Genomic DNA, 14097 nt, shown 5'->3' with positions numbered 1-14097 from the left:
TCACCGTCTCCCCCCGGGTGTCAAAAGCGTGACCGTGTCAGGAAAGGCATCTGAGAAAAGCGCCATCTGCCACTGGCTGGACTGACTGTGCACACGCGTTCTCCCTCAGTCTTGATTTTTGGACTTCCAAATCTAGAGCATCATAATGTTTGACACGAAATCATGTCATATGAAATGCTTAAATCCTTTTTCCACTTAATATCATACACATTTCTCAGGGGTAACCTTATGCAGGCATCACAGGGGCCATTTCCAGTGACTGCCGGCCGCGTCTGCCGGCCCTTTTTGGTCTATCCGGACAGAAGCAGTTACAGCTCCATGCATTTCCAGTGAATCTCAAACTATACCAGTAACGTCTCTTACAAGACAGAGGAGACTTGCTGGGAATGGTAGTACTGGCCTGGCTCACTCTGCAGCGACTCTGCTGGGCTCAGGCTTGCAGATCTCCGGGTCTGTGCAGCCTCCATGCAAGGGGCCACGTGGAGCCGGGAAACCTTCCCGGGGAGAGCAGAGGCCGGTGCCCTTGTGAAGCCCCGATGGCCAACATGTGCCTAGCCTCCTGTCAGGAGCTTCCTTTTTTTTTTTTTTTTTTTTTTTTGAGACGGAGTTTCGCCTTTGTTGCCCACACTGGAGTACAATGGCACGATCTTGGCTCCACCTCCCAGGTTCATACCACAACCTCCGCCTCCCAGGTTCAAGCGATTCTCCTGCCTCAGCCTCCCGAGTAGATGGGATTACAGGCATGCACCACCACACCCAGCTAATTTTGCATTTTTAGTAGAGATGGGGTTTCTCCATGTTGGTCAGGTTGGTCTCGAACTCCCGACCTTAGGTGATCCACCCACCTCAGCCTCCCAAATTGCTAGGATTACAGGCGTGAGCCACCACGCCCGACTGGGAGCTTCCATTTTAAAGAACACCATCATCTCTCCCTTCACAGGTTATGGGAAGACCGGCAAACAGGAGACTTTTTGTTGTTACTTTTTGATTCTGTTGCAATATTTTTGTTACTTTTTCTGATTTTGTGTGTTTCGGTGCCATAAATGGTTGTTGAGAACTGATGTGGCGGGTACCAGCTAGGGACAGGCAGGACAGGCGATGTGGGTTTCAGGCGTACACAGCCCCGTGGGAAAGAGACAGGGAAACCAGCACAATTCACTCTGACCCCAACCTTGGCCTGCAGTGCGAGGCGCCCAGTCACAAATGTGTACACACAGTGATTTGGGGTCCTTTTTCCTAAAACAGCTTCTTTATCAGGACTTTGGAATTCTGGGTGAGATAGAAACACTGAAAACAGGGCGGAAGTTTTTTCTTCTGGCTTCTTAGTCCACGGAGGGCTCAGCGTGGAGAGGATATGCCGTGGCATTCTCCCTGGGAGACCACACATGTTCCCGACAGCTCAGACCCCAGACCGCATGTGCTCCTGACAGCTCAGACCCCAGACCGCGCGTGCTCCTGACAGCTCAGACCCCAGACCGCAGGTGCTCCCGACAGCTCAGACCCCAGACCGCGGGTGCTCCTGACAGCTCAGACCCCAGACCGCGCGTGCTCCCGACAGCTCAGACCCCAGACCGCGGGTGCTCCTGACAGCTCAGACCCCAGACCGCGCGTGCTCCCGACAGCTCAGACCCCAGACCGCGGGTGCTCCTGACAGCTCAGACCCCAGACCACGCGTGCTCCCGACAGCTCAGACCCCAGACCACGGTGCTCCTGACAGCTCAGAACTCAGACCGCGGGTGCTCCTGACAGCTCAGACCCCAGACCGCGCGTGCTCCTGACAGCTCAGACCCCAGACCACCGTGCTCATGACAGCTCCTGTCCGCATGCTATCTTAAACTCTCAGCCCCCACTGGGCCCTGTGCTGCTACCTGAAAGCTGCAGGTGAGATGCGAGGCACGAGGCCACGCACGCTCTGAGGAAGGAGCTGTCAGGCGCTCCTGAAACAAGAGGACATCGGAGGGAGGCAGGGACAGGCCTGCGTCCCATGGTGCACAGCCTGTGGCCCCTCAGACGGGCCTGTGTGGCCTGGTGGTCACCTACAGGGCATTTGGAAGTGGGGTACTGGTGTGGCCAGGGAGAAACAGCCTGGGGGTCCCCGGTGCCTCTGGGCTCCGGGCCAAGATCTGAACCAGTCTGTTGAGTTTTCCATCACGTCCCAGATCCGGGGCTGTCTGCACAGCTTCCCACCCCGGCTGGGACTGCATCTCTCGAGGCCCTGCTCCGACCTCACTGTGGCCTCTCCACCGTGCATACCACCCTATAATGCACCGCTTTCATTGCAGTGCGGACCCCTCTGGACGTCGGGACTGAATCAACCTGGGAAGTAGAAGTCGTGGCTCACATCCGCCCAGCCGCAGACACAGGCGTGCTGTTTGCGCTCTGGGCCCCCGACCTCCGTGCCGTGCCTCTCTCTGTGGCACTGGTAGACTATCACTCCACGAAGAAACTCAAGAAGCAGGTAGGGCCTCCGCCACCCAGGGCGTCCTGACCGGCTCGACCCACGGGTACGTGGGCTGCACTCCCTGGCAGGGGACGAAGGGGGCCCGCGGTGGGATCCCCAGGGACCCCCAAAGCCTCTGACCAGAGGTCTGATGAGCCAAGCCCGGCGTGGGCCACGCTTCGGGCTGCGGGGGTTGTTTGGACACCAGGTCACCGCCACACAGCTGAGGGGGCCGGCGCCTGCGAGCCACACTCGGCTCACAGTGTGGGAGCTTTTCCCCTGTTCGGTTGGGCAGATGGTGGCTCACAGCAATCTGAATTAGTCTCTGGTGTTTAAGTCAGATGATTTCAGCAACAAACTCAGTTTTCCAATTTCCCTGGAAAAGTCGGATCTGTGACCTTGGCCGGTCCCCCAACAGCGTCTTTCCGTGGGGGACACCGGGTGGAGCTGAGTGCAGCTGCCCCTTGGACAAGGTCCCCCCACCCCCGGTCCTCACAATAAGTCAGCTGTCCTGGGCTGGGGGACTCATGCTGTTTTCCCCACAGAACAATCAAGAGGTGACAGAAACAGCTTTTATTCTCTCGCTCGTGTGCTAAGGAGGGAGACATGGGTCAAACCAGAGAGGCTCACGTTCTCCAAGTCTGCCCACCCCGGGGCCACAGAGCCCTCCCGCTTGCTGGGATACGACAGACAGGCTTGGTTCATGCAAATGCTCGTTACCAGGGCCAGACCCAATCTCAGCATCTGGAATAAACAGCTGCTGTTATGTAGCAACAGCCGACCCCTGGGCTGCTGGGCTGTGGTGCCAGCGTGAGTGCCCACCGGGCTGGGAGGCCGCCACCGCAGGGCTGGGTCCTGGGTCCCCATCAGGGCCACCCCAGTTCCTGGTCAAGTGCAGCCTCGGTCTTGTGTGTGCCTGGTGCCTGGGGCTGGGGTTGACCCTCTCACACCCAACCTGGGGGCCACACTTGTTCCCCCACAGCCTCCCAGGCTGGCCCCTGGCTTTACGTGCAGAGAAGCTGAGCCCCAGGTGGGGTGGGGGTGTCATCCACAGTCAGCGAGCATCCAGACCCAGGGCTGCAGGGAACCCTGGACGGAGACAGGCGTGCGGCGTAGGGGTGGCCAGCAGCTGTGAGGACCAGCTTGGACCTAACAGCTCACGTAGGGGTGGCCGGCAGGCCCTGACCACACCTCGGTCTCCTGCAGCTGGTGGTCCTGGCCGTGGAGCATACGGCCTTGGCCCTAATGGAGATCAAGGTCTGCGACGGCCAAGAGCACGTGGTCACCGTCTCGCTGAGGGACGGTGAGGCCACCCTGGAGGTGGACGGCACCAGGGGCCAGAGCGAGGTGAGCGCCGCGCAGCTGCAGGAGAGGCTGGCCGTGCTCGAGAGGCACCTGCGGAGCCCCGTGCTCACCTTTGCTGGCGGCCTGCCAGGTAGGTGCTCCCTGCTCCGCTCAACCCGGGTGAAGAGCTCCAGGGAGGCCCAGCTTGGTCACCCCAGATCTAACCTGGACAGGCTGGGGTTTCTGGTAGTGAATGCGGAAGAGGACTTGTGTTTTAAGAGGAAGGAGAAGTCCAGGTGGGTCGTTAGTGGCTATTATGGTGTCTCGGTGCTGGTCAGGTCATTGGCTGAGACTGAGAAACACGTACGGGGGCCGGCATTGGCCTGAGTCAGGCCCCACGAACCTGCATCTTCAGGGAGCATTCGTCCACACCCATCAGACCAGCCCCGGGGGAGAGGGCTGGGCAGACCTCGGGCCAGGCTGCAGTTGGGACCCGCGGCTGTCACCGCAGCTGTTAGCAGCGAACAGAGTGACCGCCAGCCCCTCCCATGTCCAGCAGGGCGTCCTGCCGTGTCCCATGGGCTACACAGCACAGAGGCTGGGACCGGGGATGTCCTTGCCATGAGCTGGGAGGGTCAGCGGAAAGGCACGTGGGAGCCGGCAAGTCCTCGGCTGCCCGCAGGTTTTCACTTGCGGCAAACGGCAGGATTTCTCTCTTGGCTGCCAGACACAGACTCCACTTAGTTTTAATAAACAGAGCTTTGAAGAGGATGAGAGCGAGCCAGGAGGCCTGCAGCCTGAATGACTCACTGGGCACAGAAGAAGATCACGTTTAACCGATGGGACTGTCTGTGCTCCCAGCGGGGAAGGGAGGGCTGGCGTCTGCAGAGCCCAGGCTGGCAGATGCCTCCTGCTTGTCTGCCGGGTCTGCGGCCAAACGAACGGGGACCGAGAAGTTAGAGAAGAAAGGGAAACCCTGCCCTTTCGGAGGGAACCCGGGGCTGGCCACAAGCGCTGCCGGGGGTGGGGGGGCCAGGCGGGGCCGGCCACGTGGTGAGCTAAGATATGTTGTTCTCTCCCTGCGGCCCAGATGTGCCGGTGACTTCAGCGCCAGTCACCGCGTTCTACCGCGGCTGCATGACACTGGAGGTCAACCGGAGGCTGCTGGACCTGGACGAGGCGGCGTACAAGCACAGCGACATCACGGCCCACTCCTGCCCCCCCGTGGAGCCCGCCGCAGCCTAGGCCCCCACGGGACGCGGCAGGCTTCTCAGTCTCTGTCCGAGACAGCCGGGAGGAGCCTGGGGGCTCCTCACCACGTGGGGCCATGCTGAGAGCTGGGCTTTCCTCTGTGACCATCCCGGCCTGTAACATATCTGTAAATAGTGAGATGGACTTGGGGCCTCTGACGCCGCGCACTCAGCCGTGGGCCCGGGCGCGGGGAGGCCGGCGCAGCGCAGAGCGGGCTCGAAGAAAATAATTCTCTATTATTTTTATTACCAAGCGCTTCTTTCTGACTCTAAAATATGGAAAATAAAATATTTACAGAAAGCTTTGTAACACCGCGTGGCCGTCATCTGCTCCCCGCGGGGTTCTGCACACGTAGCAGCGTTTGGGATGAGCGGGGCTGCCAGGGCTCCAGGCCGCACCCTCAGCCGCTCCAAAGATCCCTCCCTCTTTTCTGCTCCCAGCCTGGTTGGGCAGCCACGGTCTGCTCCCCAGGAGCCTCTGACTCCTCTGGTAGTGGCGGCAGGGGCTGGAGCCTCAGTTTACTTGTTCTGTAAATGCGGAGAACGCCCTGCTCGGCCCCCACCACAGGCAGCCAGTCATTGCTGAGTGAGGAGGGCTTGGCACACAAATGCAGGCTGCTGGGGCAGCGGCCTCTGAGCCAACCTGGGAGGGACCCCGAGCTGGGACCGAGGGCCGGAAGACACCGAGGCAGCGCCTGCACCCCTGTGCCATTCCCGTCCCCACCCTCCTGCACAGATCCACTTGCTTCCGGGCCTCAAGTGTGTTCTGTTGAGAAAGGGAAACTGCTTTCTCTGTGTCGGTCTGGGGTAGAGCTTGCCAGGAGCAAAGCCAGCCCTGCTTCCCGCGTCCCCACTGGCAGGGTCCCCATGTCCCTCAGCCTCAGCTTCCTTGTCTGCAAGGGGTGGAGCGGTCACTGGTGCTCTCTGACCCCAGCAGGCCACAAGTCTGCAGGGAAGGTCAGGGCAGCCGGAACGCGGCCAGGCAGGTGCCTGAAATGCAGTCGGGACCCTGCCTGCCTCCTGGAAGGATGTCGGAGCCGCAGCTGGTGGGGGCCACGGAGTCACTGCTTCTCCTTGGTCCCAAGGGGACGACCAAGACTCATGGCTTGACGCTCCCGTGGGACGCGGCCACCTGTGCTCGAGCCTCTGGGCCAAACATGGGTCCCCAGGGTGGATGCGGTCACTGCAGGGGCCACACGGGGGATCAGGGAGGGTTTCAGCTCTGAGGCCCAAACCAGGATTCCACTTTAAGACCAAACCCCCACCCGTGCTCGGAGCTCCCTGGGCAGGAGTGAGACGGGGCAGCTCGGAGCAGCCCCACCTCCCACCAGTCAGTCCCAGAGCTGCGCCCACCGGGCAGGACAGGCTGTGCGTCGGGGCATCTTTGCCTCTGCCTGGCTGGGGTCAGCACTTGACCTAGAGAAAAGTCGGGTGGAGAAGAAGGATAGAATCCATGAGAACCCATCCAGGGATAAATCGCCACAAATGAACTGCAAAGAGGTTTCTAGAAAGAGGCCTGTGGCTTTGAAGGCCACAGGGGAGGCCCCGCTGGCTGGACTGACAAGGTGGCATCGGCCGAGTGGGCTCCTGAGGGGCAGCCTCGGGCCGGGAAGGAGCGGCTTCCCTCTGGCCCCCGGCCTGACGGCTGTGGAATGGGCAGAGCTTCTCCAAGGCTCGGGAGCCAGCAACACTCATGCCCACCTGGAGGGACCCTGCCCGCCTGGGCCGAGCTCACCCCACGGATGGACGGCCAGCCAGGCACCTTGCCAGGGGCCATGCACAGGGGGCCCCATCCCCTGCCGTCCAGAGCCGCCCAGCTCGTCTACGCTGGAGCCTCCAGGCCCTGGTGGTCCCTGAGGGTCCCTGGCAGGCCCACCCTGTGTCTCTGGGGCTCTTGTTGACCGGTGCCAGTTATGGGCTCCTCGGGCCACATCCCATGACCCTGCGCCATCGTGGGCATGATGCCACTTGCTCTGGACACGCCGGGCAAGGGCCTCTTGTTCTCCCCAAAATCTTGGCAGCACCTGGGCAGAAGTTCTGTTGATTGAGGGCTGCAGCCTGAATTCAGGACTTCAACCTAGTCTAAGAGGTATTGCAGGCAACTTTCGCTTCGGTACCGTGAGAAAATAGTGACGGGGGAGGCCCTGGCCTCAGAGGGCAGACGTCAGGCTCCTGCCGGCTCCCTTCGGAAACGTCCATCTGCCGCCAGCGGCCCCGCGTGTGTGTGACGGCTCTCGCCAGCCTCGCCCAGCAGCACGTGGACCTTCCGCAGGCAGATGCGCTTTCTCCACTCGGGCCGGGACAGATGGCCACCGGCTGCTCACACGGTCGGGGACCCGCAGCCCAGGCCTCCACGCTGGCTCCGGGATGTCCAGGTGCTGGTTGGGCTGAGGATGGTCGGGCCCAGGGCTCGGATCTGGCCATCAGCACAGAAGCCCAGTTCTGGGAGGCCCAGGCGTGGATGCTGACGGCTCGCTAAGCAGGCCAACTCGTCTGACCCCGACGATGCCAGAGCCAGCTGAGCAGAGCTCCAAGAAGCCCGTGGAACACAGCCCCCTGGGCCCCAGGAGAGCCCTGCACTGCCCACTGCACGGCCTCACACGGCCACAGGGGCCACAGCCGCACGCTGGGATCCCAGGCTCCAGCCCGGCACCGCGGCGTCCCTCAGATCCCGGCCTCCAGCCCGGCACCGCGGTGTCCGTCAGATCCCAGCCCGGCACCGCAGCGTCCCTCAGATCCCGGCCTCCAGCCCGGCACCGCGGCGTCCCTCAGATCCCGGCCTCCAGCCCGGCACTGCGGCGTCCGTCAGATCACATTGGTGGGTGCCCCCCAGTGCTCTCCCATAATGTTCCCCAGCCGGCTGGGAGCCTGCTCCTGCCCAACCTCCATCCTCCCCAAGTCAAGACGGCCAGGAGCAAAAACAGGCAACGGCCAGTCTCAGGGACAGAGACGTGGGGAGGCCCCCACAGACACAGGCTACAGTCACCAGTGTCCTCAGGACACAACCCTCCGCCTGGGTTTCTGCTCTGCCTCCAGACGAATCAGGAACTTCTGTTTCCTAGTATTGTTTTCTTAGAGTTCCGGGGGTGCCAGAAGTTATAATAACCACTGTCCCAAACAAGCAAAACCAATGGTGCTAGGAATTGCAACACAGAGGCCCAGCCAGGCCTGTCACGTTGGCGACCTGGCACCCTCCACAACCAGGCATGTCTGGGGTGTGCAAGAGGATGGGAAGACAGAGCACGTGGTGCAAGTGCTGGTGCCCTGGGGAGGCAGGAGGGATGTGCCCCTTAGAGGGAGGAGGGATGTGCGCCCTGGAGGGAGGAGGGATGTGCCCCCTGGAGGGAGGGGTGATGTGCCCCGTGGAGGGAGGGGGGATGTGCCCCCTGGAGGGAGGGGGGATGTGTTCCCTGGAGGGAGGGGGGATGTGTCCCGTGGAGGGAGGGGGGATGTGTCCCGTGGAGGGAGGGGGGATGTGTCCCCTGGAGGGAGGGGGGATGTGTCCCGTGGGGGGAGGGGGGATGTGTCCCGTGGGGGGAGGAGGGATGTGTCCCGTGGAGGGAGGGGGGATGTATCCCGTGGAGGGAGGGGGGATGTGTCCCCTGGAGGGAGGGGGGACAGCCCTGACTCTGGGCTGGAGAGGAGGAAGGAGGTTGGGCATGTGTTTTGCAGGTGGGGTCCTTTGATGTGGCCGCGTCCTGTGCACAGCAGATGCAGCATCGCCCCCTCCTGGACACCCAGCCTCATGACAACACGAAATGTCTCCAGAGGTTGGCCACTGTCCCCTGGGCCCGGGCACCTCTGGGGAAACACTGCTCTAAGCAAGAAGGAACGTTTCGTCCTACTTCACGTAATACGGCAAATATGAACATCAGATTTTTAAATGCCAACGGAAGCATAAAGCAAATGTACAGCCGGGCTAATCCCAGCACAGCCCATTTGTAGGAGAAGCTCCAGCCACAGCCCCTGCCTGCAAAGCAAGAAGGGTCACCTGCCCCAGGGTCAAGGACTCCACGAGGGGAGAGGGGGAGGGTCCGCTCCATGGTGCCCTTGTTTCAAGCACGTTTTCTGCTTACTGAATTCCATCAGTTAAAAGGTCTAGGAAACAGAAAAGGAAGTGGCGCGTGTCGCCGTCTGAGGATCTGCTGACGGGCCCCGGCCTCGTGGAATCCTCTTCTGCCTCTGTGGGTCTCCAGAGTTTCGGAGGCATCTCTGCTCCCACCGCGGGGTCTGGTGGCCACGGGGTCCCCAAGTCTGCAGGAGGAGCTGCTCTGTGTGGCGAGGGTGATGACCATGGCTCTTGTTCACTGAGCAGGGCCGGTGGCCAGCACTGTCCAAGTCACCAGTGCAGCCCCATAAGGCCATCTTCACAACATCCTTGGGGCCCGTTTCTCCCACTCCCGTTTCCATGGAGATGTGATTCACACAGCAATAGCCACGCCTCATGAGTGCAGAGCATGGGTCGGTGGTCAGTCCATCCACGGGGCCGTCCACCCATCACTGCCATCTGGCTCCCGGACACTCCTCTTCCCACAAGAACTCGTGTCCCTGACCAGTGACTGCACCTCTCCCCATCCAGAACACGCTTAGAACACACTTGCCTCCCCGAAAAGAACTCGTATCCCTGACCAGTGACTGCACCTCTCCCCATCCAGAACACGCTGCAAACACGCTTGCCTCCCCGAAAAGAACTCGTGTCCCTGACCAGTAACTGCACCTCTCCCCATCCAGAACACGCTGCAAACACGCTTGCCTCCCCGAAAAGAACCCGTGTCCCTGAGCAGTGACTGCATCTCTCCCCATACAGAACACGCTGCGAACACGCTTGCCTCCCCGAAAAGAACCCGTGTCCCTGAGCAGTGACTGCACCTCCTTTCCCAGTCGGCTTCTGTCTGTGGACACGCCTTCTCTGGACACTGCATATAAACAGAACACAGTCTTCATGTCTGGTGTCCTTCCCTGAGCACTGTGTGTTACAGCCTCAGCACCCGTTAGAGCTTCCTTCCTCTCCGTGGCCGGGTGACCCGCGTGTGGATGGGCCACGTCCTCTCCCTCTCTGTGGCTGGGTGAGACCCGCGTGTGGATGGACCACTGTAGTATTCTGTTTTCACACTGCTAATAAGGACATACCCGAGACTGGGAAAAAAAGAGGTTTAACGGGACTTACAATTGCACATGGTTGGGGAGGCCTCAGAATCACGGTGGGAGGCAAAAGGCACTTCTTACACGGCAGGAGCAAGAGAAAATGAGGAAGAAGCAAAAGCGGAAATCCTGATCAACCAGTCAGATCTCGTGAGACTTACTCACTATCACGAGAATAGCACGGGAAAGACCAGCCACCATGATTCAATTACCTCCCGCTGGGTCCCTCCCACAACGCGCAGGAATTCTGGGAAATACAATTCAAGTTGAGATTTGGGTGGGGACACAGCAAAACCATATCACCCATGTCCCTTCCTCTCTCCGTGGCCGGTGACCCCATGTGGACGGACCGTCACCCATGTCCCTTCCTCTCTCCGTGGCCGGTGACCCCACGTGGACGGACCGTCACCCATGTCCCTTCCTCTCTCCGTGGCCGGTGACCCCACGTGGACGGACCGTCACCCATGTCCCTTCCTCTCTTTGTGGCCGTTGGCCCCATGTGGACGGACTGTGTCCCTCCCCCACTCAGTAGTTGCCTCTGCTTGGGAGCTCTTGTGAGCAGTGCTGCTGTGTGAAATGTAGAAACTGAGGCAGGAGGAGACTCCCTGTAACCCAAGGTCCCAAGCTAATAAGGTGGGGCCAGTCTCAACGGACCCCTGCCCAGGGCAATGCTCTGACCCTGCCCTCCTCAGTCACAACCTGCAGCTACACTAGGCCCCCACCTCTGAGCTGCAGGAGAAGCCTGTCTCCTGTGCTGTCCCAGTGAGGCAGGGAGTGCAGGTGGGGCCACAGCACCCCAAACCCCCCAGCACCCCCTGCCCCGGGGCCACAGCACCCCCAAACCCCCCAGCACCCCCTGCCCCACCATCCCCTCCACCCCATCTCCCGCGGCCTCCAGGGTCTCACTGACCTCGGCTGTGCATGGGAACCAAGTGAGGGCGGGATTGGGAGCCCATCCCTGCAGAGGAGGCTGGGATCAGAAGGCCCCAGCGGAGCCCAGAGAGGGGGTTCATCAGACCGTGACTCAGGCTGGCAGAGCTTGGTGGCCCCAGACAGGATCCGTCCACATGAGACAGGTGCACCTCGAGAGCAGCCGCCGCCCACACTGCAGGCCAGGCATTGGCCGGAGCCCTGCGCCAGGTGGGAGCTGCCCTGGGACCTGGGGGACCCTCCAGCCACCACGAACCTTGAGTCAAATTGTTCACATTCTTTGTGGCTGGGATAAAGGATAAGGACATTTTTGTGGCAAGAACAAAACTGTTGACCTTGGAGTTGAATATTTTTGAACAGCTTTTGACTCTAGACAAGATTAAAAGTCGGGAAAGATCGATGTTGTGTTTGGGGGAAGCTGGTGAGTGCAGCCTCGGGGAAGCACTCTGATGCCCCCACACCGCACCCTGCGACCGAGGGCTGACATGAGGGGAAGGAGGGTTATTCCTGTGACTTTGCTGGCCAGAGCTCCAGGGGGCATAGACTCCCTGCCCAGACCTGCAGTTCAGCTTCTCTGCTGTTCGCACCCCTAGGACACCAAGAGGTGCTGGTGCCTGCACCAGGCAGCTTCGGGGGCACAGCCCGAGCTCCAGGGTGCCCAGGAACCGCCCACACAAGACCACGGCACCATCGGCGCCCATAGAGCCTTCCCTGAGGTAAAGTGAGAGCCCTGGGGACTCGGGAAATCCGTGGCACACTTTTCTTCCCCCACAGGCGCTCGTGAGTGCATCTCCCGGCGCTCCAGAAACCTCTTGGTCTCTGCTGCTTGTTCAGCTTCTTACTCGGAGCCAGGCACCCACAGCCCTGGAGGAACTGGGCGGTGATTTCCAGACAGGACGCCGCACCTCCGGCTCGTGCCCGACCTCCCGGACTGGTTCAAGGCCAGTCAGCCCTGAGAGGCCAAGACCACATTCTCCTGGACAGCAAGCTTGTGAGGCTGGATTTTATAAGATAAAAATGACAAGCAGTGGCGGGTTCACAGACCAGAGCTGGCTGCAGGCCTTTCAGAGGCCCGTTAGGGCCCCTGGGCCCAGCCAGCCACCGTTCATGTGTGGATGTGCGCTGTGGGCCTTCTGCCCAGGAGCGCTGGACACAGGATGAGACCCTCCGTCGGGCAGAGGGAGGCTCCCGGGCAGCGGAGGGGGCAGAGGCTGTGTGAGACCCTCCATCGGACAGAGGGAGGCTCCCGGGCAGCAGAGGGGGCAGGAGGCTGTGTCTGCACGAGTGTGGCTCCCCTCCACCTTATCTTTTTTCTCCCAGATCCAGGACTGGGCAGGGGAGAAAGTCCCCGCTCCACCTCCCAGGTGGGCACTGTTCCGTGAAGTAAGCTGGAGACCTCAGACCCACACGGGAGAAGAGCGGTACTTGTTTATCGTAGGCACGGGGGGCTTTGCAGGGAGGGACGTGAGGCCCTGAGAGCGGTGAGGCCTGGAGGCGCCAGCTTCCGAGGGGAGAGGGAGTGACTGGGGAACCGTGAGCGGCCCACAGAGCAGAGACGGCGACTTGGTGTCTTGTGGCACGTCTGGGGAGCAATGGGATCACCTCTCGCCCGCCCTCCCGCCCTGGGAGTCCCTGGTTCCCTGAGGATCTGACTTCAGGAGTTCAGAGAAAGCCTCTCCCCACATCCAACACTTTTCAAGAGACTTCGGCTACTTTGGGGTGGCGCATCCTGAACTCCTGTCACTGGGGCGCCTGTGACCCACCCGGGACCCGTGACCCACTCGGGACCCGTGACCCACCCGGGACCCGTGACCCACCCGGGGCCCGTGACCCACCCGGGACCCGTGACCCACCCGGGACCCGTGACTCACCCGGGGCCTGTGACTCACCCGGGGCCTGTGACCCACTCGGGACCTGTGACCCACCCGGGATGCCTGTGACCCACCCGGGACCTGTGACCCACTCAGGACCTGTGACCCACCTGAGACCTGTCCTGTGACCCACCCGGGGCCTGTGACCCACCCGGGACCTGCTGCTTCCCAGGCGTGCTCACCCGTCTCCCCAGGTGTGCCCGGCAGGTGCATGCTGGGCCCGCGGGGAGCTAAGCTGGTTTCCACAGGGAGTGCTGCGGCCCCAGACCCTGAGCCAAAGGACCCCGAAACACCGTCCCCCACCATCCCAGCGGCCAGGGGTCCTGAGACAAGGTGCGGTGAGGGAGAAGCCGCGGAAGGACAGCGGAAGCCCAGGCGCCGTAGCTGGGAGACAGCTCAGGGGAAGACCCTCGTGCCAGTGGCCCAGGCAGATTTGCATCCGGGGCTGGGAAAGACAACCGGGCCCCTGGATTCTAACAACTCACAGGCGGTTAGACACAGCGCTGGGCGTTGGAGCCGAAGCGTCCTTCCCTTCCTGGCATACGTCAGGAGCACAGCACGAGGGGCGGGTGGCTTCTGCCCTGCGCTTCTCCAGGACACAGATGCACACACGAACGTGTAACGCACAACACATGTCCACAAACAAGAACACACAGGCAGGGAGGCCGGGGCTGCACTGTCTTTGCAAAATCATAATAATAGCTAATTAATTAAGGGATGTGAAAACACCAGAACAATTGCTCTCAGAGGAGGAGGCCGGGTGGGAACTTTCAGCGCCATTTGATGTGAGCAGAGCCCAAGCCAAGGTGTCACCAGCCTGGGTCTGGAGGGCCCCACTCCCTGCCTGGTTCCAGCCTCCCTCACCAGTGTGCCCAGGGAGGAAAGGAGGGGACAGACTTCTGGAACATTCTCCCGGGTTCTCTAGGAGGTTGGCCACAGAAGCGGGATTTCTAGAGGCTGCCTTTTTTTTAAAAAAAAAAACAAACAAGTTATCTTTTACTCCACGCCTCTATCAGGGTGCGTAGGGGGGTGGCTTCTCCCCCGGGGGAAAGTAGGTGGGTGCGTAGCACGGTGGAGCCTGGCCGGGAAGCCCAGAGCCAGAGCTGCTTGGAGAAGGGGGCTGCAGGTCCTCAGACGAAGCCAGGGCAGAGGAGGGCGCAACTGGGAAGCGGCTGCAGGG

General features: G+C 61.2%; 2 protein-coding genes, 1 long non-coding RNA gene and 1 other non-coding gene across 5 annotated transcripts in view, besides 5 other annotated features; 1 reads left to right on the top strand and 3 right to left on the bottom strand.

Moving 5' to 3' along the window:
* The window catches only part of GAS6 (growth arrest specific 6), a 43528-nt gene extending 38244 nt beyond the window's left edge, over positions 1-5284 (top strand). The window contains exons 13-15 of the mRNA NM_000820.4: positions 2283-2458; positions 3647-3875; positions 4815-5284. Coding sequence (NP_000811.1) covers positions 2283-2458; positions 3647-3875; positions 4815-4969 — 560 coding nt within the window. The 3' untranslated portion in view covers positions 4970-5284. The remainder of the gene's footprint in view (positions 1-2282; positions 2459-3646; positions 3876-4814) is intronic.
* The window catches only part of GAS6-AS1 (GAS6 antisense RNA 1), a 27232-nt gene extending 17009 nt beyond the window's left edge, over positions 1-10223 (bottom strand). Inside the window, exon 1 of the long non-coding RNA NR_044995.2 lies at positions 10142-10223. This is a non-coding gene — a long non-coding RNA (GAS6 antisense RNA 1). The remainder of the gene's footprint in view (positions 1-10141) is intronic.
* Positions 3593-4141: an enhancer, noted in NCBI's record as "H3K4me1 hESC enhancer chr13:114524665-114525213 (GRCh37/hg19 assembly coordinates)". NCBI's record gives its function as "activates a minimal SCP1, AML or CMV promoter by ChIP-STARR-seq in naive and primed H9 embryonic stem cells {active_cell/tissue: H9 hESC(naive and primed)}" and the evidence as "EXISTENCE:reporter gene assay evidence [ECO:0000049][PMID:30033119]".
* Positions 4691-5240: an enhancer, noted in NCBI's record as "H3K4me1 hESC enhancer chr13:114523566-114524115 (GRCh37/hg19 assembly coordinates)". NCBI's record gives its function as "activates a minimal SCP1, AML or CMV promoter by ChIP-STARR-seq in naive and primed H9 embryonic stem cells {active_cell/tissue: H9 hESC(naive and primed)}" and the evidence as "EXISTENCE:reporter gene assay evidence [ECO:0000049][PMID:30033119]".
* Positions 5212-7330, bottom strand: LOC124903220 (uncharacterized). Its single transcript, XR_007063882.1, has 2 exons — positions 6328-7330; positions 5212-6157 (listed from the first exon to the last, which is right to left on the bottom strand). It is a non-coding gene; the product is annotated as an uncharacterized LOC124903220 (transcript).
* TMEM255B (transmembrane protein 255B) overlaps positions 8838-14097 on the bottom strand; it is a 57770-nt gene continuing 52510 nt past the window's right edge. For both annotated transcript variants that reach the window (NM_182614.4, NM_001348663.2), the window contains one exon: positions 8838-14097. In NM_182614.4, coding sequence (NP_872420.1) covers positions 13930-14097 — 168 coding nt within the window. In that variant the 3' untranslated portion in view covers positions 8838-13929.
* Positions 9800-9919: an enhancer, noted in NCBI's record as "active region_8042". NCBI's record gives its function as "activates an Ori minimal core promoter by ATAC-STARR-seq in GM12878 lymphoblastoid cells {active_cell/tissue: GM12878}" and the evidence as "EXISTENCE:reporter gene assay evidence [ECO:0000049][PMID:35858748]".
* Positions 9980-10219: an enhancer, noted in NCBI's record as "active region_8041". NCBI's record gives its function as "activates an Ori minimal core promoter by ATAC-STARR-seq in GM12878 lymphoblastoid cells {active_cell/tissue: GM12878}" and the evidence as "EXISTENCE:reporter gene assay evidence [ECO:0000049][PMID:35858748]".
* Positions 10270-10339: an enhancer, noted in NCBI's record as "active region_8040". NCBI's record gives its function as "activates an Ori minimal core promoter by ATAC-STARR-seq in GM12878 lymphoblastoid cells {active_cell/tissue: GM12878}" and the evidence as "EXISTENCE:reporter gene assay evidence [ECO:0000049][PMID:35858748]".

This window comes from Homo sapiens, chromosome 13 (assembly GCF_000001405.40).
Source record: "Homo sapiens chromosome 13, GRCh38.p14 Primary Assembly".
Classification (NCBI taxonomy): domain Eukaryota; kingdom Metazoa; phylum Chordata; class Mammalia; order Primates; family Hominidae; genus Homo; species Homo sapiens.
Note: the sequence above shows the minus strand (reverse complement) of the source record. Positions and strands in the feature narration are given on the sequence as shown.